The sequence below is a fragment of the Homo sapiens genome, chromosome 5, assembly GCF_000001405.40.
Source record: "Homo sapiens chromosome 5, GRCh38.p14 Primary Assembly".
Taxonomy (NCBI): Eukaryota; Metazoa; Chordata; class Mammalia; order Primates; family Hominidae; genus Homo; species Homo sapiens.
This window is the reverse complement of record NC_000005.10, coordinates 128,769,868-128,791,038: the sequence shown is the minus strand read 5'-3', so window position 1 is coordinate 128,791,038 and position 21,171 is coordinate 128,769,868. Positions and strand designations below refer to the sequence as shown.

Below are 21,171 nucleotides of genomic sequence, written 5' to 3'. Positions count from 1 at the left end.
GGCTGTTTAGAAAGTTTAGACTTCCACCCTCTTCAAGATATAACAAGGTGTCCCATCCCCATTTTCCCCTCCCCTTTCTATTCAGAGAAGGCTGAATGGAAAGTTGGAATTTTCATCACCACCAGGCTGCACCCCAACCCTGTGGTGTCAGTGGCAGCCAAGTGAGTAGTAGCAGGAATGACCCCTAAGGATGCCCCTTCTCCTCTCAGCTTAGGAGGTATTGGTGGATGCCTATGGGGAGTTGCAACGCCCATGTCTGCACAGTGGAAATGAGGAATCTCCCACCTTAGGTGTTAACTGAGACCAATAGGAACCTGGAATTCTACTCCCATCTGGCAGTGATGACGTGGGATATCCCATTTCACATCCCCTGCTGGAGCCATATCATAAACACCCAGCTAAACCAGAAGGTTTAAATAGGAGCCATATCAGAAATAGCCAGCTAAACCAGGAGGTTTAAATAAGATCCAGAGTTTCACAGCATCATACCCAAAATATCCAGGTTTCTTTCCTTTTTTTTTTTTTTTCTGACATGGAGTCTTGCTCTGTCCCCCAGGCTGGAGTGCAGTGGCGCGATCTAGGCTCACTGCAACCTCCGCCTCCCAGGTTCAAGCAATTCTCCTGCCTCAGCCTCCTGAGTAGCTAGGATTATAGGCATGTGCTACCACAACCAGCTAATTTTTGTATTTTTAGTAGAGACGGGGTTTCACCATGTTGGCCAAGATGGTTTCTATCTCTTGACCTCGTGATCTGCCCGCCTCGGCCTCCCAAAGTGCTGGGATTACAGGCGTGAGCCACTGCACCCGGCCTCCAGGTTTCTTTTTTTTTTTTTGAGATGGAGTCTCACTCCGTCACCCAGGCTGAAGTGCAGTGATGCCATCTTGGCTCACTGCAACCTCTGCCTCCTGGGTTCAAGTGACTCTCAAACCTTAACCTCCCAAGTAGCTGGGACTACAGGCACGTGCCACCGTATTTTTAGTAGACATGGGGTTTCACCACGTTGGCCATGCTGGTCTCAAACTCCCGACCTCAAGTGACCCAGTTGCCTTGGCCTCCCAGAGTGCTGGGATTATAGGTATGAGCCACCATACTCGTCCAGCTTTCAATAAAAAAATCATTCATCATACCAAGAACCAGAGAGATACCAAACTGAATAAACAATCAACAGAAGTGTGTGCACTAAACAACAGAACTGCAAGTTATACAAAACAAAATATGATAGAACTGAAAGGAGACATAAGTAAATCCATAATTAGAATTGGAGAGTTTAACACTATTCTGTCAACAGATAGAATAACTAGACAGAAAATTGGCAAGAATATGTAAGAACTCAATAACACCATTATCCAACAGGATCTAATCAACACTTAGAGACCACTCCACTCAACAGCAGAATGCTCATTCCTTTCAAGAGCCCACAGTACATATTCCAAGAAAACTATATCCTCGGCCACAAAACAAACCTCAGTACATTTAAAGGCATCGGAATCATACATATATTATTCAACCACAATATAATCAAATTAGAAATGAGTTAACAAAAAGATAACAGGAAGATCTCCAAACACTTGGAAACTAAAAAGACACTTCTAAATAATCTATGAGTGAAAGAGGGAGTATCAGAAGAATGAAATATAGATTGAATTGAATGAAAATGAAAATACAATACATCAAAAATTGTGGGACACAGCAAAAGCAGTGCTGAATGGAAATTTGTAGCACTAAGTGCATACATTTGAAAACATAAAAAAACTCAAATAAACAATAATGACATGATTAACTATATAGAAAGTCTCAAGATATCTCCCAACCATAGGTGTTAATCTAACAAAACATGTACCATACTTGTATGATGAAAACACAAAATGTTCATAAATCAAAGAATATCTACATAAATGGAAAAACATATTGTGTTCACGGATTGGAAGTTAAACATATTAAAGATGTCAATTCTTACTAAATTAATATGCAGCTTTAATTCATTTCCTATCCAAATCCCAACAATAATTTTGTATACACAGTTGCCTCTTGAACAGAAGTTTGAACAAGACAGGTCCACTTATCCACAGATTATCTTCCACTTCTGCCACCCTAACACAGCAAAACTAACTCCTCCTCTTCCTTTTTCTCCTCCTCAGTCAACTCAACATGAAGAGGATGAGGATGAAGACCTCGATGATGTTCCACCTCCACTTAATAAATAGTAAATATACTTTCTCTTCATTATGATTTTCTTAATAACATTTTATTTTCTCTAGATGATTTTATTGTAAGAATACAGTATAGGCTGAGTGTGGCTCACATCTGTAATCCCAGCACTTTGGGAGGCCAAGGTGGGTGGATCACATGAGGTCAGGAGTTCAAGACCAGCCTGGCCAACATGGTGAACCCATCTCTGCAAAAAATACAAAATTAGTCAGGCACGATGGTGGGCGCCTGTAATCCCAGCTACTCAGGAGGCTGAGGCAGGAGAATCACTTGAACCCGGAGGTGGAGGTTGCAGTGAGCCAAGATCACACCATTGCACTCCAGCCTGGGTGACAGAGTGAGATTCTGTCTCAGAAAAAAAAATACAGTATATAATTCATATAACGTACAAAATATATTGTAATAGACTGTTTATGTTATCAGGAAGGCTTCTGGTCAATAGTAGCCTACTCAGTGGTTAAGTTTTTGGGGAGTCATGAATTTTCGACTGCATGAGGGCTCAGTCCCCCAACCTCCACATTGTTCAGGGTACAACTGTATAGATAAGTTTATTCTAAAATTTATATAGAAAGGCAAAATAACTAGAAGAGTTAGTTATGAAATAAAAAGGACAGTCATAGAAATCAATCTACCTGACTTCAAGGCTCATTAAGTAGCTATAGTAATTAAGACTGGTATTTGGCAGAGGAATAAACGTAAAATCAGTGGAATATAATAGAGAACCTAGAAATAGATCCACACAAACATGCCCAACTGATTTTTGGCAATGATGCAAAATTCAGTTCCATGAAGGAAAGACATTTTTTTCAACAAATGAAGCTGGAGAAAATGGGCATCCATGGTCAATGGGGAAAAAAAAAAAGAAAAAAACCACCCACAACGTTGACCTAAGTCATATACCTTATACAAAAATTAACTAGCACTGGATCATACACTTGGATTGAAATGTAAAGTGTAAAACTATTAAGCCTCTAGGGAAAAACAAAGGAAGACATACTACATAACATACAATGCTCCTCTGCAATAAAAAGGAACAAACTATTGGTACGCACAATAACCTGGATGAATATCAGAATTAGGCAAAGTGAAAAAAGCCATTTCCAAAAGGTCACACATACTGAATGGTTTCACTTATATAACATCCTTAAAATAAAAAAATTACAGAAATAAAGAAGAAATTAGTGATTTTAAAGAGTTAAGGAGAGCTGGATGCAGGAAGAAGGGGGTGTGGCTGTAAAAAGGCAAAATGAGGGATCCTTGTGGCAATGGAGATGTTCTGTGTCTTGATTGTATCGATATCAATATTCTGGTTGCAATATTATACTGTAGTTTCACGAAATGTTAATATTGGTGGAAACTAAGTCATGGTTAAATGGGATCTGATATGGTTTGGCTGTGTCCCCACCAAAATCTGATCTTGAATTGTAGCTCCCATAATCCTCACATGTCATGAGAGGGAACTGGTGGGAGGTAATTGAATCATGGGGATGAGTTTTTCCTGTGCAGTTCTCATGATAGTGAATAAATCTCAAGAGATCTGATGGTTTTATAAAGGGCAGTTCCCCTGCACACACTCTCTTGACTGCTGCCATGTAAGACATGCCTTTGCTCTTCCTTCACCTTCTGAGGCCTCCCCCGCCACGTGGAACTATAAGTCCATTAAATCTCTTTTTCTTTATAAATTACCCAGTCTCAGGTGTGTCTTTATTAGCAGCATGAGAACAGACTAATACAGGATCCCTCTATATTATTTCTTATAACTTCATGTGAATCTATAATTATCTCAAAATTTTAAATGTAAAAAAAGAAAACTAAAAATGAACTTCCTTCCCACATACCCAAATGAAGAATTTGACAAACCAAAATAATATTCCTAAGTAACAGTGTACTCAGTTTTTTCCCCCTTTCTTTGTTCCCCATACCTCCCACAGTCCTTACCTTGCCTCATTTTTTAGGAATGATTTTTTAGGTAATGGTTAGTATATATGTTCAATGATGTATGCATTAAACAGCTTCCCTTACATCATCTTTCTCTCCAGCTATTTCTGCCACACCATCCCAGACATTGTTCATTTCATCAAATTATAACTTATTAGTACTTCCCTCACCTCCCACCATACATGACAGCCTTCAAACTGGCACCTTCATCTTTGTCTAGCAAACCAACTTTTCCACCCTCTTAGTTTGATTTTTATTTTCTAACCACAGGGTTGCTTATCTTCCACTCCTGATTAAAATATCATTCTCATACTCCAAATCTTCATGCTCCTTTCTTAGATTTCTTAGATTTTTCTCTTTATTTTGAATATTTGTTTTCTTTTTCTTTTTCTTTCTTTTTTTTGAGACAGAGTCTCACTCTATTGCCCAGGCTAGAGTGTAGTGGTGTGATCTCAGCTCACTGCAACCTCTGCCTCCTGGGTTCAAGTGATTCTCCTGCCTCAGCCTCCCAAGTAGCTGGGATTACAGGTGCCCACCACCACACCTGGCTAATTTTGTATTTTTAGTAGAGATGGGGTTTCACCATGTTGGCCAGGATGGTCTTGAACTCCCGGCCTCAGGTGATCCACCCACCTCAGGCTCCCAAAGGGCTGGGATTACAGGCGTGAGCCACCAGGCCCAGCTGGAACATTTGTTAAATTACACAAGTAATACATAGATAGCACCTGTTCGTGACTCATAGAATATAGAAGTACTCAGAGAAAATTGTAACATTGATACCTGGAGTAATTGTTTCTTTTCAGAATTTTTTGATTATTTTATGCATTTTTTCATATAAACTTAAAAATGAGCTTGTCATTGTACATGAAAAATCCTGTTAAAATTTTGATTGAGTTACATTGACTTTGGTGATTGCTTTCTCAAGAATTAACACCTTCATGATTTGAATCTTCTATAGATCATGATATGCTAATCTTTTTTTAGATACTTATAGTCTAATATAATCAGACTAACACTGATTTTCATGTGTCAGTCTTCTATTCAGTCACCGTTCTGAATTGTCTTATTAGTTCTAGTAGTTTTTCCATTATTTTTCTTGCATTTTCTCAGTATAAAACTATATTGCTTACAAATGATATCATTTTTTCTTCCATTCAGATATATGTGTGTATATCTGTATGTGTATATGTGTGTGCACACATACACCTATACCTGAATATACATATGTGTGTATGTGTATATATATATATGTATGTGTGTGTGTGTGTGTGTATATATATATATATATATATGTGATGGTTAATACTCTCAACTTGATTGGATGCAAAGTATTGATCCTGGGTGTGTCTGTGAGGGTGCTGCCAAAAGAGATTAACATTTGAGTCAGTGGGCTCAGGAAGGCAGATCCACCCTTAATCTGGTGGACACAATCTAATCAGTTGCTAGCAAATATAAAGCAGGCAGAAAAATGTGAAAAAGAGTGATGGGCCTAGCCTCCCAGTCTACATCTTTCTCCATGCTGGATGCCTCCTGCCCTCGAACATCGGACTCCAAGTTCTTCAGTTTTGGGACTCAGACTGGCTCTCCTTCCTCCTCAGCTTGCAGACAGCCTATTGTGGAACCTTCTGATAGTGTAAGTTAATACTTAGGAAACTCCCCTTTATATATACATATATATATATATATATATATATATATATATATATTTATATATAAAATATCCACATTTCTGATACACACACACTTTTTTATGGTATGTAACTTGCATTTTTCTTGTATTTTTCTTAACTCACTGTATCACTGAGGTCCTTCAGTGGCATATTAGATGTGATGTTGACAGTGGGCATTCTTATTTTTTCCAGAGTTTTACTTCACTGGACTTAATAGAAAAACAAATTGGGTTTTTATTCACTATTTTTCACATATTATCTATTGGATTAATTTCCTTCACTATTTTTCAAATATTATCTATTGGATTAATTTCCACATTTATTTTTATTATTTTATTCCTTTTATTTTTATTTTATTTTTTATTCACTTTTCAGCTTTTTACATTTATACTTAGGTCATTCACTTTATCATATTTATACGCATATAAAGATCTATGTATTATTTAGACATCTTCTTAAGAACTGCATGTTAAAACATGTTAATTAATGCTTGGGTTATATTCTAGTCTGAATCATCTTGGGCATAGGGGTGGCACTGTCACTTGGTCTAGCCTGGGTCCTGTCCCCACCCTTTGTTTGGATGGGAGGAGTTCATGGAGTACATGCTAATGTGACTCCGCCATGCTGGTTTAATATCTGCCAACAGAAAGACCTATTTTAGTTGTGCTACATGCACTCACTGCTTTGATTTTAGACAGGCCAGTGTGGACCAAAGATTGTCTCTTTCTTACAGAGCCACGAGGCCTGTCTAAGAGTTGTTGGTCCCAATAATTAAAGTTAGCATGACAAAGGTATGAAGTCAGGAACTAGAGAGGAAGATAGAGTAAGGAAGATTCGGAAAAGAAGGACAACAATGTTCCCATTTTCTCCCAAACCCTTCCTGCTTGGCATCCCTTGCTTGTTTAATGGGGTTATGAATTACACCAAGTTTTCAAGATAAGAGAAGATAAGCCTGGATAAACTCTGTGATGCAGGGAACCAAAGAAATACCCATTACTTTTCATTTTCATCACAAATCTAAGTTGTGATGAGCTTCACAGAACCTGAGAGTTCCCATAGAGTAAATGAACAGGACTCAGGTTAAGAATCATTGTCCTTGGCTGAGAAAAAAACAAAACAAAATAAACTTCTTATTTCCATTTAGGTACAGTTGTCTTACACCCAAACTGGCACTTTTCTAGGTGTAGCCTCTGACCTTTGTGACAGCTTAGAGGTCAGGAAATTCTTTAGGGATCCTCAAAAAAGATAGAATTATTTTTTATTGAAAAACACACACAAAATCAAAACAGAAGACCAAAGATGAAGATCAACATGGTGTCAAACCAGATTTCTATCAACTCCTTATTTAGAAAAAATGTAAGCCTAGGAATATTTTGTTTTTGAAATAGAGCCATCCCCTTAGCAGTGAAGAAACATTGAAAAAATTGGCCTCTGCTATCAAGGATGGAATTTGGATTGTAGGTCTGCTCTGATGTCATCATTTTAGAGGATGAGTAAAAGGAATCATAAGGATATATCTTTCAACCTATTATAAGACGTGATTAGGAGGTTTAAGGTAAGATTCTGGAACCTCTTGGGGAATTATTGATTTGGAATTTCCCATATACAGTAAACAAATATGCAGTGTTTCCCTCTTGTCTCTATTCATCATTATCTTCAGCTGGGTTTTACTGACGATCTAACAAAATGGGGATTATCTAGATCAATTTCAGGTGAAAGTAGTGGATTTTATAACTAAGTCTTTCAAAACCTTAAACAATAGCATCTAAATGCCTATGTGGGAAAGAAAAAAAAGTCACAAGAATTCTAGAATCCTAAATGACTCTACTAGACTCCTAAATTCTATCACAAGGCATCCTATGTACTTAAAAGTGAATCCTGAATGTGAACTGCCATAGTCCCTGTTACACCTAAAAGACTTTGGGCAGCTTCACCCCAGGTCTGTTGCTAAGATAGGTGGGGAAATTTGAAACCTGAAAGATTAGACAGGAAGTAGCTAGTACACGTGCCCAAGGGAAGTTTTCTCCCCAATGTCTATCTGAGGAACTGAGCTGGACAAGAGACCTCTCTATGGCAGTAATGATTAAAGACAATGAACTAAAAGTGGATCAGAACAAGATTTTGTTTTCCCACCTGTACCTGACAACTGTTAAATGACCTCAAAAGCCCAAAAAGGAGACTTGAGTAAAGCAGCTTCCACCATGAAACTTTTCTTCAGACACCCAGGCCTGTGAGTCCCCAGCATTCTCCCGCTATGGCATGGTAACTTCAGGACACACAGCAGAGTTTATAAATACCTTTCCCTGTCCCTGTGTCTGTTTGTAAGCAAAAATATAATGACAAACAGAGGGATACATGGACTGTTTCTCAGCATAACATAACCATAAAATAATGAGACTTTCTCCTAATTGCATTATGAGTGGGTCTTCTCTGCCAGCTGACTTACATACAATTAAGCTTCTTGCTGAAAAATGCCAATAAATATGCAATTCATGAATAGCCTAGCTAAAAAGTCTGGTGAGAGCCATGACTTCTTACTGGCGAAGGCCAGGAAACTGCAAAGACAATAAACTTTGGCGTCTGCTCCAGGCTAACTGGCTATGGCCAAGGCGCAGTGTTCACATGTCACCTGGGTCTCTGCCAGGCTATTAGTCATTACACATTCTGCCCCAGTGGTGCATTAGAAATGGTGTGGACTCTGAATATGCTTAGAGGGAAGAAAAAAGAAACACTAGTTTATGTTCGGTTAGGTTAAAATTTTTGGCTTTTTCCCTTCCTGGGAAAGTTAGACTTCACACAAAAACTGAAATCTTTGTTCGCCAGTCTTCGAAGGCTTTTTTCCTGTAAAAGTACACAATGGTTGTTAACTGCTCTAGAAAAAAGATTTCAGTTAAAGAAAACAGGAAAGTTAGCACAATGAAAATGGTAGATGTCATTAACAGAACAATTTTCACCCACTCAAACAATCAACTTACCTATTTGTTTTTCGTATCCATCTCTGTACCTTCAAGAGTTTTTCCTATTAGCCCCGCTGCCAGTTACAACCATAATATGCCTCTCTGGGTACTATCTGCTGTGTCGTTGGCCAAAGGATCTTGGGATTGCATTTTTAAGGACAATATCTTTCTCTAAGTAGTAAACCACAGAGATTAATAGCATCTCAACCCCAGACACAATAATAAAAAGCAGCTGACCATTTCTTTAAAACATGCCATTGGGTTTGATCTCCAAACAATAGCTTCACTTGCCTAACAATCAGAGCAGTTAAGTTTAGATATCTACAAAATCAACCATATTTATACTGATCATTACAATTACCACTTAATTAGTAAGTAGAATCATCAAGCAAATATAAATTTGCAAACAAAATTTGATGTGATTTTTGTTACATGTGGTAAACAGAAATTTGTCAACTACCAGTGACAGACACACATTTTGAACTATGTTTTCACAGAAATAGGACATTATTTTTTCCTAATGTGACTAAAATTTAGTATACTAACTTCGAGCACAGCAGATCCAAGGACTAAAATAATGTCTCAACCCAGTTTCTGTTTACAGGTTATTTCTTCTGACAGAAACAGAGCTTTTTATTAATTGAAAAGACAACATACATTTCCTGCTTATGTCTTTTGTGATTCTTAAAATTTTCAATGCCACAGAAAAAGAGGCATCCGTGGGTCCCCAGCATCCATGTAACAAATTTTGAGGAGGATTCTTAATGTCTGCCTTCAGCCGTATTCTCTTCTGAAAATGAATCAATTTGCGCATAGGGATGGCACTGTCACTTGGTCTAGTCGGGGTGCTGTGCCCACCCTTTATTTGGATGGGAGGAGTTTATGGAATACATGCTAATGTGACTCCATCATCCTGGTTTAATATCTGCCAACAGTAAGACCTATTTCAGTAGTGCTATATGCTCTCATGCTCTCACTGCTTTGATTTTAGATAGGCCAGTTTGGACCAAAGATTGTCTCTTTCTTACAGAACCAACAAGGCCTGTCTAAAAGTAATTGATCTCAATAATTAAAGTTAGTGTGACAAAGGTATTGAGTCAGGAACTAGAGAGGGAGATAGATTCAGGAAGATTTGGAAAAGAAGGACAACCCCTATCCCATCTTCTCCCAAACTCTTCCTGCTTGACATCTCTTGCTTGTCAATGGCAATAATGATTTCCACCTTAGGAAGCTCTCAACTAGCTTACAGACTGGGACAAAGAGTAGATATGTAGGGAGGGGAGTATAATAAGCAGCTCTGCCATGTCTACATGGCATTAGGATAAGGGAGAGGAATGTTGGACATGCCAAACAAGGCACATTGTTAATAAAAATCAGTATGATCACCAAACAACGGCAAGTACTGTACGCCTTTTACCTACACCTGAATGTGATCTTCTCCTAAGTATTAATTTAGCTCAGCCTAGAAACTAAAGCATTTAGTTCAATTATACATTATCTACCTTTCATGTGAAGTGATATATGAGGACCTCAAAATCTGATTAAAGACATTGTAGAGATGCTCATTTTATTCTACATGATATCATTTTATATAATGAATGTTAGTACCAGTAAGTGACCTCAAAACAGATATAATAAATGAAGAGAAAATAGCCATCTAATTGTATGTTATACACTTTATGGACAAATACTTAGCCTCAAAGAGAGAGTCTAAACCTATATATAAATGATAAAATGCTCACTCATTGTTTTCATAATTTTACAGTTGAAACCAGATTGTTTAGATATCTTTATATTAAAATTAGTAAGAATTAACCTGTATGGAAGTTTAAAAAAATCCACCAACAATCTAATAACATCAGAATCTAAATCAAATACTTTCACAATATGAAGCAGATGTTTAATCCATGAAGCCATTCCATATGGGGTTTTACATGTTATTTGAGCCACCAGACTCTCCCTAGGTTTTTCTACTGAAAGCAACTTAAATATTGAGAATTGATATTTTAAAATGCAATATGTAATGAAGTTAAAAGAAAGGCATAGGGCCAATTTTTAAATAATTCTGCAAATTTTATGCTCTCTCATCAGAAAAAAGATTCATTTTCAATTTTCTATAAATAAACATGTACTCTTTCTCTTTTATCAAAGGAACATTATGATTTTCAGGTGGATAAACCAAAAAATAATAAGAAGAAAAAGTCTTAATTTAGTGTTCTCAAAAAAATAGCACCAATTTTCATGGAATTTAACCTTATATAAACTGCCCCCTCACTTAATACCACTATCCCCATTCAGCTCAGTTGTCTGCCTCACATTACCCTGTAAAAACCCCTGAGTTTCAAGAAAACAAATAACTATATGAATTATTTCATGCACCAACAAAAACCTAAGTAAATATATTTTGCAATTCTATTTCCTGACTTCAGAAATTTATCTTGTCATATTCTTGTTTTTTTATACCAGCGTTATTTGTTTTCAGCATCATCTGCAAAGTCCAAGCATTTGTTTTAGAGACGCCCAAGTTTGGGTAAGAAGTTTGGGTAAGTCTGGGTAAGAAGAGTAACAAGTAAACAAACAGTGTATACATAGGAATTATACATAGTCAACTTCATCTCCATTATGTAAGTGGATGTCATACCAGCGTATCTCAAGCTACCGATGCTGATATTTGTGGTAGCAATTAGAAAACATGTTGGAAAATATGGCCCAGCATAAGCTATAAAGAATGAAGAAAAAGTAGTACAAGGAGAGAATTAATGTGGTTTTAATGACAGTTATGTGCAAGGAACTACAGAAACAAGTTTTTATAGTGAAAAGAAATATACCAAATAAATACTCTTTTTTCAGTCTTCATAGAATCTTTATCCGTTTCTACCACTTCTTTTAGGTCAGGCTTAATTTATTTCAAATCTTGAATTTATGAGATAGAACCAATTTACTGACTTATATTTATATCCTGAACTTATAATCCCATCTATTCATTTCTCATTTTGTATGTCTATCTATTTAGAGAATTTATACTTGGAAACAAGGAATTGAATTCTCAGTTTCCTAGGATGTAAAATTAATTTTCAAACACACATGTAAATGGTTTGACTCAAAAACAGATACAAAGTCATACAGCTAATCAATAAGATTCTAAATATTATAAATTTAGGTACCCCAAAGTGTCTTAAATGCATTCAGTTTTATTTATGGCTACATAAATAAGAATAAGAGTAAATCTACAGTTTAATGATTACACACACAGGTTATGACATACAGGAGGCCATAATCCCCTAATAAACCCTAATGGGGTTCTCCATTTTTTTAAAGAAAATGTTTCATATTGTATTTTGGGGAAGGGAAACCCAGTGAATTAAAATCAGCTCTCAGAGATCTTTTGCTAACTCTGAACCATTTGTTGCTCCTGCCCTCTGTTAGCCTCTAGAAGAGCTTTAGCGGCTCCAAGGGAAGTTTATTCAACTGCTTCTCATCACATCCACCCACACAGATTTACATGCAAAGAGCTCAGGATGTTCAAAAATGTGGACATTGAAAACAGAAAGAAAGAAAGAGGAGGGGAAAAGAGCGAGAAAAACATTTTTGAAATGTGTCCCTTCCAACCCATTTGTAATAACTGCAGCCCTTTAACCAGGTCATTTTATTGAAATCATTAGCTGTTACTAAGAAGTTTTGTCGTCATCATCGGAATATGCTGAGCTCACCAGGACACCTCATGCTTTTCAAAGCAAAGAAAGAGGCAGGAAATAACTGCTATTCCTTTTTTTTTTCCTGAAATACGATGATAAATTAAGGTGACTGTAGGAACAAAAGGGGTCTCCAGTGAGGTCAGTCTCTTAGAACTCATTGTAGTGGTACTTCTTTGTTGCTGTTGCCCACCTTAGAGGGATTCTAGGCACCATTTGTTTGCATCTCCATTTATATCTGAGCCTAATCTTAAATCTACTACTCTCCTATTTCAGCATTTTGGCATGATGGGTTTTTTCAGGGTTGGCCTGGGTCTGCTTGTTCGTTCATTCCTGGGAGAAGAAAAAAAACTTAAAACGTATAAAATTTAACAGAAAACCCATACAATTAGAAGATGCTGGATCAGGATCTTCTATCTTTGTGGTGCTTGTCTTGCCCATAGATTTCTTTTGAGAGGGACTGCCACCTCCACTGTCCCTGCCAAAGGAAGCATATCATAAAATATCTTAGATAAAAGTGGTTGTGCTCTAATTATGTTTGTAGGCCCTCTGGTAAGAGACACTGGCTAGGGAGAGTTTATAATGGAGCAATAATCTATCTAAAGGCAGACAAGCAGCTTGTGAGGCAGCCTAGCATTGGAGTGTCACTCAACAGCTACTACAGGAATCTCTCAGGAATTAGAATTGAGAACTCTGAGAAAGAGTCAGTGAGTAGGGAAATTCAGGAGTCAACTAGGAAACTGAAAGAGGAAGAATAAACATAAAGTAGAGATGAAAAGAATGGCTGATTCTCATTGGCTAATAAGAGAGCCAAAATAATAACAACTTATTGAAAAAGCAGCACTGGATTCCTGAATGGCCTTCCATTTCTTAAAGTGTTTTCTGGACATCAGTCCTCCTCTTCCTCTAAAAGGCACCCAGGCTGGTGTCCAACATTAGCCAAATTTAAGTACCTAAAAGCAGGTTTACCCAGATTTCTGTGAGGCCCAAACACCATGACTGAGAAACCTATTTTTCTCATTTTCCCGTAAATCTGTATAATAAAACTCCCCTTACTTGAAGTACTTTGAGTAGTTTCTGTTATTTGCAACCGAAGAATGTAACATCAGGGGTCAGTAACAATATTATCATTTAAATCTGGGGGATTTTATAAACTCATGTAAAGTGAAATTGATAACTAAGGACCTTGTCCACATAACTATGGGACAACTAAAATTTTAACAATGTATTTATGTATCTAATGTGTCAGTTTCCCTTTCACTTTTGATGATTCATCCAGTTGCTCTTACTAGAAAGTAAGGTGTTGTCTTTGATCTCTCATTTCCTCTCACTTCAGAGAGCCACCAAAACCTGATGATTCTGCCTTCCAATTACATCTGAAATCTATTCACCACCCCTCAAACCCTACAGCTTCTTTGCGCTGTCCCATTTCAAGGCATCTGTGTTCCTGATTTCAGTCTGTGGAAAATACCTTCTGACCACCAGGATGTTTCTTACTGAAATTCTTGCTACTTTCCAATACATTCATTTAAGCCAGTTCTATGTTCAAAACTCTTCAATGTCATCTCATTTCTCTTAGGATAAGGGCAAAATCTCTTAAAGACTAAAATCTGGCCCCTGTGTATCACTCCAGCCTTTGACTACAAACTGCCTTATTTCTGTTCCCCAATTATATACTGTTCTCTTTCTCGCTCAAAGTATTTTTCCCATCCTATCACCTCAGCTGAAACAGTTTCTCCCACCCCACTGCCTCCACTCACACTCCGTTCACCTGGCTTAATTCTTAGTTGTAATGGCAATGTAAGATTCCCTGTTTAAAATTCACTTCTTCAGATAAACTTGCCCTGACACTGCCTTATAGATCAGGCTCTCTTGTGTAATTTCAATCATCCCATATCATACATCCGTAACACTTACATTTGTGATGACTCCAAATGATTTAGTCTTTTAGGGTTACCCTTTTTTCACATGTATTACATAACTAGAATTTAGTTCCTAACTTTCAAAATTGTGTAAAAATTTTGAGATATAATCCTCTAAAAATCTCAAATATGTTTGGCATGTTTGAATGTAAAATATAGGCTAAGTAACACTCCCAAAATTGACTTTGTGGATCTTGAGGGCCTCAATAATCTTTCCTTTAATAATGAATAATATGATTTTATAGGTTTTTAAATTCTATATATTTATAAGAGTTGCAAAATTTACATTCTTTGAATTTTGTCATAACACCATGCATGTGAGACTTAGTCAAGGAGTTGGGGAGAATTTCAAATATTCAGAAATTTTAAGTGTCTGAGATTAATTTTCCATTTCTGGTAGACATGTAGTAAATATATATATATATAGAAAATGCCACCCCAATGATGGGCAAATCTCATGTCCTCATTAGTAAGACTTTCCCTAAGAATTTTGAGACAAAATAAAAGATTATTGGAGGGGCAACAACTATTTGAAGGGAAGTCAAGAAAGGCTCTTTCTGAGGCAAAAAAAAGAGCAATATCTAATTAAAAGCACAGAGGGGTATACACTTCTCAAGGGCACTGAGATTGGTGTCCAACATGAGCAATGTTTTAAGTACCTAAAGAGGAGGTACCATCCTTCGGTTTAACTGAGTCCAAAAGAAAGCTGGGTCCATAAAAGTGCCAACTCAGATGGGTCTTTTCAAAGGCAGTTGAAGTCTAACACAATGATAATGGACTGCCAAGTGGGAGACAAATGTCATGTGCATTAAGGCAGAAAAAAGTTCCAAGTAGATGCCTGAAGGCTGTTACTATAATTGGACGCTGAGTGGGAAAAGTAAGATTCACATTTCAATGGTAAGATCCTTTTCCTTTACTCTGTATGATGTGTTCTGGAATTTCTGACTGGCTAATTTTCCTCGTGAGTATTTCCCAGCATCTTGCCGTGTTGTTAGATGTCTCATGCTGTCTCCTTTTCTCTCTTGGGTCCCTAAACTGCTCTTTCCCCATCTGCCCCACAAAATTTGAAATTGTTCTAACTTTAATATGTCAGGGAAGTTATTTCTAATTTTGGATCTACCTAGTTCATCTTAGCTATGTCATATGAATCCCCTGTTTGATCCCCAGAAAAAACATCAGGACAATTTCCTAAATAACAACAGTTATCTTCCAAAGAGTAACAAGCTTTCTATCAACACTTCTTTGTCCTTGTTGCTATAGTTATATTATTCTTTGTTTCTTTAATGTCTCTTTTCTCAGCTAGACTATATAAACTCTGTGTGGGCAAAGGCCATGTCTGTTTTCTTCTTTTCTGAATCATTTAAAGTGATGAGAAGAAAATAAAAGCCCAATATATATTTCTTTGAATAAATTAATATGCATTGATACATCTTAGCACAGATTGAAAGGTAATGCTGATACTTTCCTGCACACCCTACCACCCCCAAAATGATCTGTCTTTTAGGATTTAAGTACTAATCACAATGACAATCCTCCTTTTGCTTGTAGAGTATGTTGGGATGATGCTTAGGACTAGACTGAAAATGGGAAAATGGCTAGTCAGCAGACCTGGATCTGGCTCCGTGAAATTCCCTATGGCCTCACTCACTGCCTGCACCCTGGAGCAGAGTTAAAGGAATCACAATGGTAGTAGAGAAGCTAGATAAACTGAGAAGAATCTCATAATTAAGCAGAAGATGCTCGCAGGGATGTAATGAACACTAATGTACTTACGAATGCAATGCATAATATCAGCTGTCCTATAGTCAGGACTAGCGGTCAGGATTGCCAAACCTCACAGCACTCCGTCATCGGTCAGCTTATCAACCAAAACCACAAACCACTACAAATGTGAATTCTCAGTAGCACTGTACATACGAGGAAACAAAGCTCAGCTATTATAAAACTTATCAAAGATCTAGCTGATAACCAGGAGACCCAGAATCTGAGCCCAGGTAGGTCTGATCCTTTTCCTTCTTTCTCATGCTCTCAATGACGTTTCCACTATGGTCAGAAAATATGGAAACTTTTTTTTTTTAACAACATCCTTTTGACCAAGGGAAATACCACCAAGTATTTCCTTCAAATTAGTCTCTGCAGTTTATTGTAAAGAGCTTTCTGATCCAAAAGTTTGTTCACAATCAAATGAGTGGACAAAATTGTTTGCTAAACTAACATGTGTCCTTGTTGCTTATTATCATGTTTTGCAAACACACTGCAGCTCCCTTGAGAAGGTTTCTTTTTAATATTATTATTTTTAAATGGTACATTGTAATTATATATATTTATGGAATATAATTTTGTGTTCTCACCACAAAGAATTGATAAATGCATGAGGTGATGGACAATGTACACACCCTGATTTGACCATTACACAACATATACATGTATTGAAACATCAGATTTTACCCTGAGAAGCCTTCTCATCAAGTGTCTTCTCAACATTGAGGATACCATGAGTTTAGATGAATAAGCATTTTTTTAATCAGAGAAACAAAAATGATGAAATGATTTATTTAAGTTTGATGTAAACACTTGAAATGGAGGGTTGAAACCATTCTATAAATAACTTTAAAATAGATAAAACCTTATTTTCCTCAATTATCTAAATATTTAGGTTAAAGTGGGGTTTTAAAAAATTTATTTACTATATCTAGAGATTTTCCCATCTGCCCATTTTATTCATCGGAACTGAGGATGCTTCTTAAAAGTAAACATTCCTAATGAACATGCTTTTAAAGAACAAGTGACTAAAGTATAAAAAGTTTTGTGGCTAGTGTGTTATTTTATCTGCTTGCTTCCAGACTATCACACATATTTCTTCCACATTAAAATTTATCTCTCAGGTATATTAATTCTGCCCAGGTTCTCTAAGCATATCATCTATCCTGTTTCAAGTGTCACGGATATAATGACAGAAAATGTCCAGTATTGGCAATTACAGCTTAGGTACAAATATGAATAACACGTTACTTCCAACCAGCCAGATCCTTGTATTTCATTTCACGTAGGCAGTATTTCCTCTCTTCTGTTTTCACTGGACACTTGCCTGCTTTCACAGTACCATGCACCACACATCCTGTTTATTAGTTTAAAAGAGTTTAACAAGGGGACTTATTTTATGTTTTTCTCTGTCCACCAAAGTGCAATTTACTACTCTTATAAAAAGTGGCTTCCCCAGTGTATTTGCACTGTGCTTCATTGCGACTCCTTCTGTAATATTCTATGTGATGTTCAAAGTCACTCTACTTACCATCATTCATACTTACTTTCCTTTCATAAATATTGCCCAGTGGCAATTTAATTACCAATTTGATTTAAAGCTTAAAAACTTGTTCCGTTCGCTTTTTCAAAATGATTTTAGATTTTATGTTTTATTGATTATGTTCTTTAAAAGAACACACTTGTATCAAATTCTATAGCAATGTACAAATTTGTCTCCACTGTAAGGACTCTTACTTTGCACTTCTGATGCTTAGCGAAGTAGAGGGAACCCATCTTGCTTTAATGTAATTTCAACATAGTCCCTAGCCTGGCTGCTTGAATGAACTACATACTATTACACTGATGTTCTGTTTACAGAAAAGGTCTTATTATTTAGCATTTATGTGAACTGCTCCCCTAGTTCCCTTAGAGACTCATCAATCCAAACTACAAATATGTCCTATTATATTTCCTGATGTTACCTTTACCGAGTCTCTTTCTCATGGTCCTGGCATACCTTGGTGTAAAGTAAAAATCACAGAACTAGAAGTGCCAGCCCATGTGATATGGCATCTGGCTAATGCACTTCCCTAGGGCTTAAGAGACTATATTTTTAAAGTTATATTTTTTTCCCTCCTGGAGCCAATTACACTCTCTAAATAGAAGTACGCAGGGACACATTGAGAGCACTGTTGAATTCTTCATCCAAGTGTCTTCATCCTTTCAAATGTTTTACAACAGTGATTCCTGGCCCAAGGCCATGTCCCCCAAAAGCAAATCATCCCTCTTAATCAAAATAAAAAAGTCCTGTCTTCAGACTCATCAACTTCCCCACTTCATACTAGAAGAATAGCTTCATTTGGCTCACCACATGGAATGTTTTTTCCTGGCTACAAATATCATGAACACTAAATTCAACTACATAATGAACCATATGATGTGAACACTGCTACAGCTCCATGTAGGTCAGTGGGACGAAGCACAAATGGAATAATCAAAACCACAATCAGTATGCAGTTCTCGTTTGGGCTTGCTAAGGAGGCAGTGGTGGAGGCTGTGAATACTGTTAAGAGTGAAGCATGCTTATTCCTTGCTATAAATGAGCAAGGAAGAATGATATACTCAGTTTACCTCAGGTGCAAAGGATACAAAGCAAAGTAAAGAAGCAACCAGTTATTAGCAGAGAACTCCCATGACAAATGTCCTGTTGGACCACTGGTTTCTGTCTCAGGCCCTCGTTTTTGGTGGAATCAGCTTTTACCAGGAAGGCACAGTTGAAATTAACACATCATGGTGACTATGGCTATGAGCTGCCTGTGACTGCTTTTGTCAGAAGGGAGCATTGCAACAGAGAGCGGCATGGTGTAGTAGCTGAACAAATGTAATTAGTCTGCTTGGGTTCAAATCTTACCTTTACTTCTTAGTACCTGTGTGGTTTGGGGGAAAATACCTAACTGTTGAAAAATCCATCTTCCTTTCTGTATAGAAACAGAAGTAAAATACTACTACTCCCCTCAAGGTGTTCTTGTGAAGGTATCCATATAAGACAATTAAGTAGTTGGTTTTCAGTAAGCAGACAGGTTTCAATTATTGTTATTTCAATGATTGTTGTTGTTCACGAAGAGCCTATTCCTATGCAGGTATAGAAACCACCTCAGTTAGTGTGACCAGTCATCTTGGTTTGCCACAAAGGTTTCCTGGGCATGGGATTTATGGTGTTAAATCCAGGGAAGCCCTTGGCAAATAAGAATGAGTTGGTCAACTTAATTATTACTCAAACTATTATGAAAGTTACAGGCCTTTTTGCTTCTTTATAATTCAAGTACAATCTCTATGACTTGTATTCTTTGTACTATTGAGCAAAAAGGAGTTGGGAAGGTAATTACTAACAAATACTACAATCTGGGAGGTAGAAACGATTCACAGAAGAGAATAAAAACTCCATGAAGGTAGAGAGTCCTTTCTCAATAGAGAGGACTCTTTAAGAAAGAGATAGTGACTGATATTTTTCCCCTGCTTATTAGTTAGTGGTTTATTTTGTTTTGTTTTTTGTTTTTTTACAAATGTCCTTTTGTTTCATTGTTAACAAAGTGGTTGCTAAAACAGTCTCTTCTGGATGAAAGCAGAAATTAGATGCTGATGGGACTGCTATTACTCTCTGCTACTCAGCCATCTGCAGGGAAAACTATTTCCTGAATATCTTTCTCCTATGGGTGGTCATAGGAATAAAAGAACAAACAATATTAGCTGCTCTGGAATGGAAGGTGGGAGTGAGAAGAGGAAGTGCTGTGAAAAACATTTGTCTAAGGCCGATCTTTAGGGGAAAGTATGGGACTTCCTTTTTTTTCTTTTGTTTTGTTTTTGTTTCCTATTACTATGTTTCATACATTATTAAAGCACTTGTGTTTAGGCTTACAATATAAAGATTGTTCATTTTCTATGTTCATCAGAATGAAAGATATACTGGTTTCTGTCTCTCAGGTCAGCCGTCAGCAGCTGGAGAGGCCCTTGAGTCCCCTACCTTCATCCCTGATGTCACCTGTGATATAAACCACAAGTTACCTCTTAATGGCTTGTGAACAGAACTCACTTACAAAGCTGGAAGGTAATTTAGTTCTTTCTTGCAGATGGCGAAATGCCGTTTTACATACCTAAGCAACTCTACTTCCCATATCATTATTTGAGATGTCAACATGTTAAAACTGAAAAGAACTCTGACAACGAATCATCTTTCTTGATGAGCATGTGATTTTTTTTATTTTAAAAATATTTAGCAATAAGCCAATCATAGTGATGCACCTGTAGTTCCAGCTACTTGGGAGACTGAGGCCGGAGAATAACTTGAGCCCAGGAGTCTGAGTCCAGCCTGGGCAACGTAGCGAGACCCTGTCTCTTTTTTAAAAATCAGCAAGTAATTTATAGTAATAATTATACACTGATAAGATAGCAGACACCAGGCTAATTGGTTTACATTTATTATCTAATTTATTCTTCACAGCTATGCAGAAGGTATTATAAGCTCTTCCAGACAGATTAAAAACTGAGGACTCATAAAGGTAAGGTAACTTGTCCAGGTCTCACTGGTAAAAATTAGCAGAATCTGGCTTTGAACCCAAATTTGACTGACTGTAACACCCATAATCTTACCCACATATTACATCTTCCTGATACTTTAAAACATCCATACTAGACACAATAAGGGACACAACAGGAATAAAACACAGTGTCTGTCCTCTACAAGGGTAAAATACCCTCTCCCTTTCCTGGGCAAAGGCTCCCACTCTAAGAGCCTCTCCCAGCCTGGGGTGGAGCATACAGCTCCCCTCCTCTCTGGTTTCTACCTTAATCTTTCTCTGCCTCCACCCCAACCCCATGTACTGTCTATTCTCCTCTCTTTTTTCCTTTCTCTTGTTTGTAATTGCCCTAAATGGCTCAACAGAAAGAGCCTCAATAATTTCTTAAAACATGGGCTCAAATTGTGAATATCAGAAAGTTAGTTCCCTTTTCTTCATATCCCTTTTCCTCTCACACATGCCAAGGC

At 37.2% G+C, this 21,171-nt stretch overlaps 1 long non-coding RNA gene across 1 annotated transcript in view, besides 1 other annotated feature; it reads right to left on the bottom strand.

Moving 5' to 3' along the window:
* LOC105379168 (uncharacterized) overlaps positions 1-21,171 on the bottom strand; it is a 273,909-nt gene that overhangs the window by 144,727 nt on the left and 108,011 nt on the right. The gene's annotated exons all lie outside the window — the stretch shown is intronic.
* Positions 16,246-16,325: a silencer, noted in NCBI's record as "silent region_16297". NCBI's record gives its function as "represses an Ori minimal core promoter by ATAC-STARR-seq in GM12878 lymphoblastoid cells {active_cell/tissue: GM12878}" and the evidence as "EXISTENCE:reporter gene assay evidence [ECO:0000049][PMID:35858748]".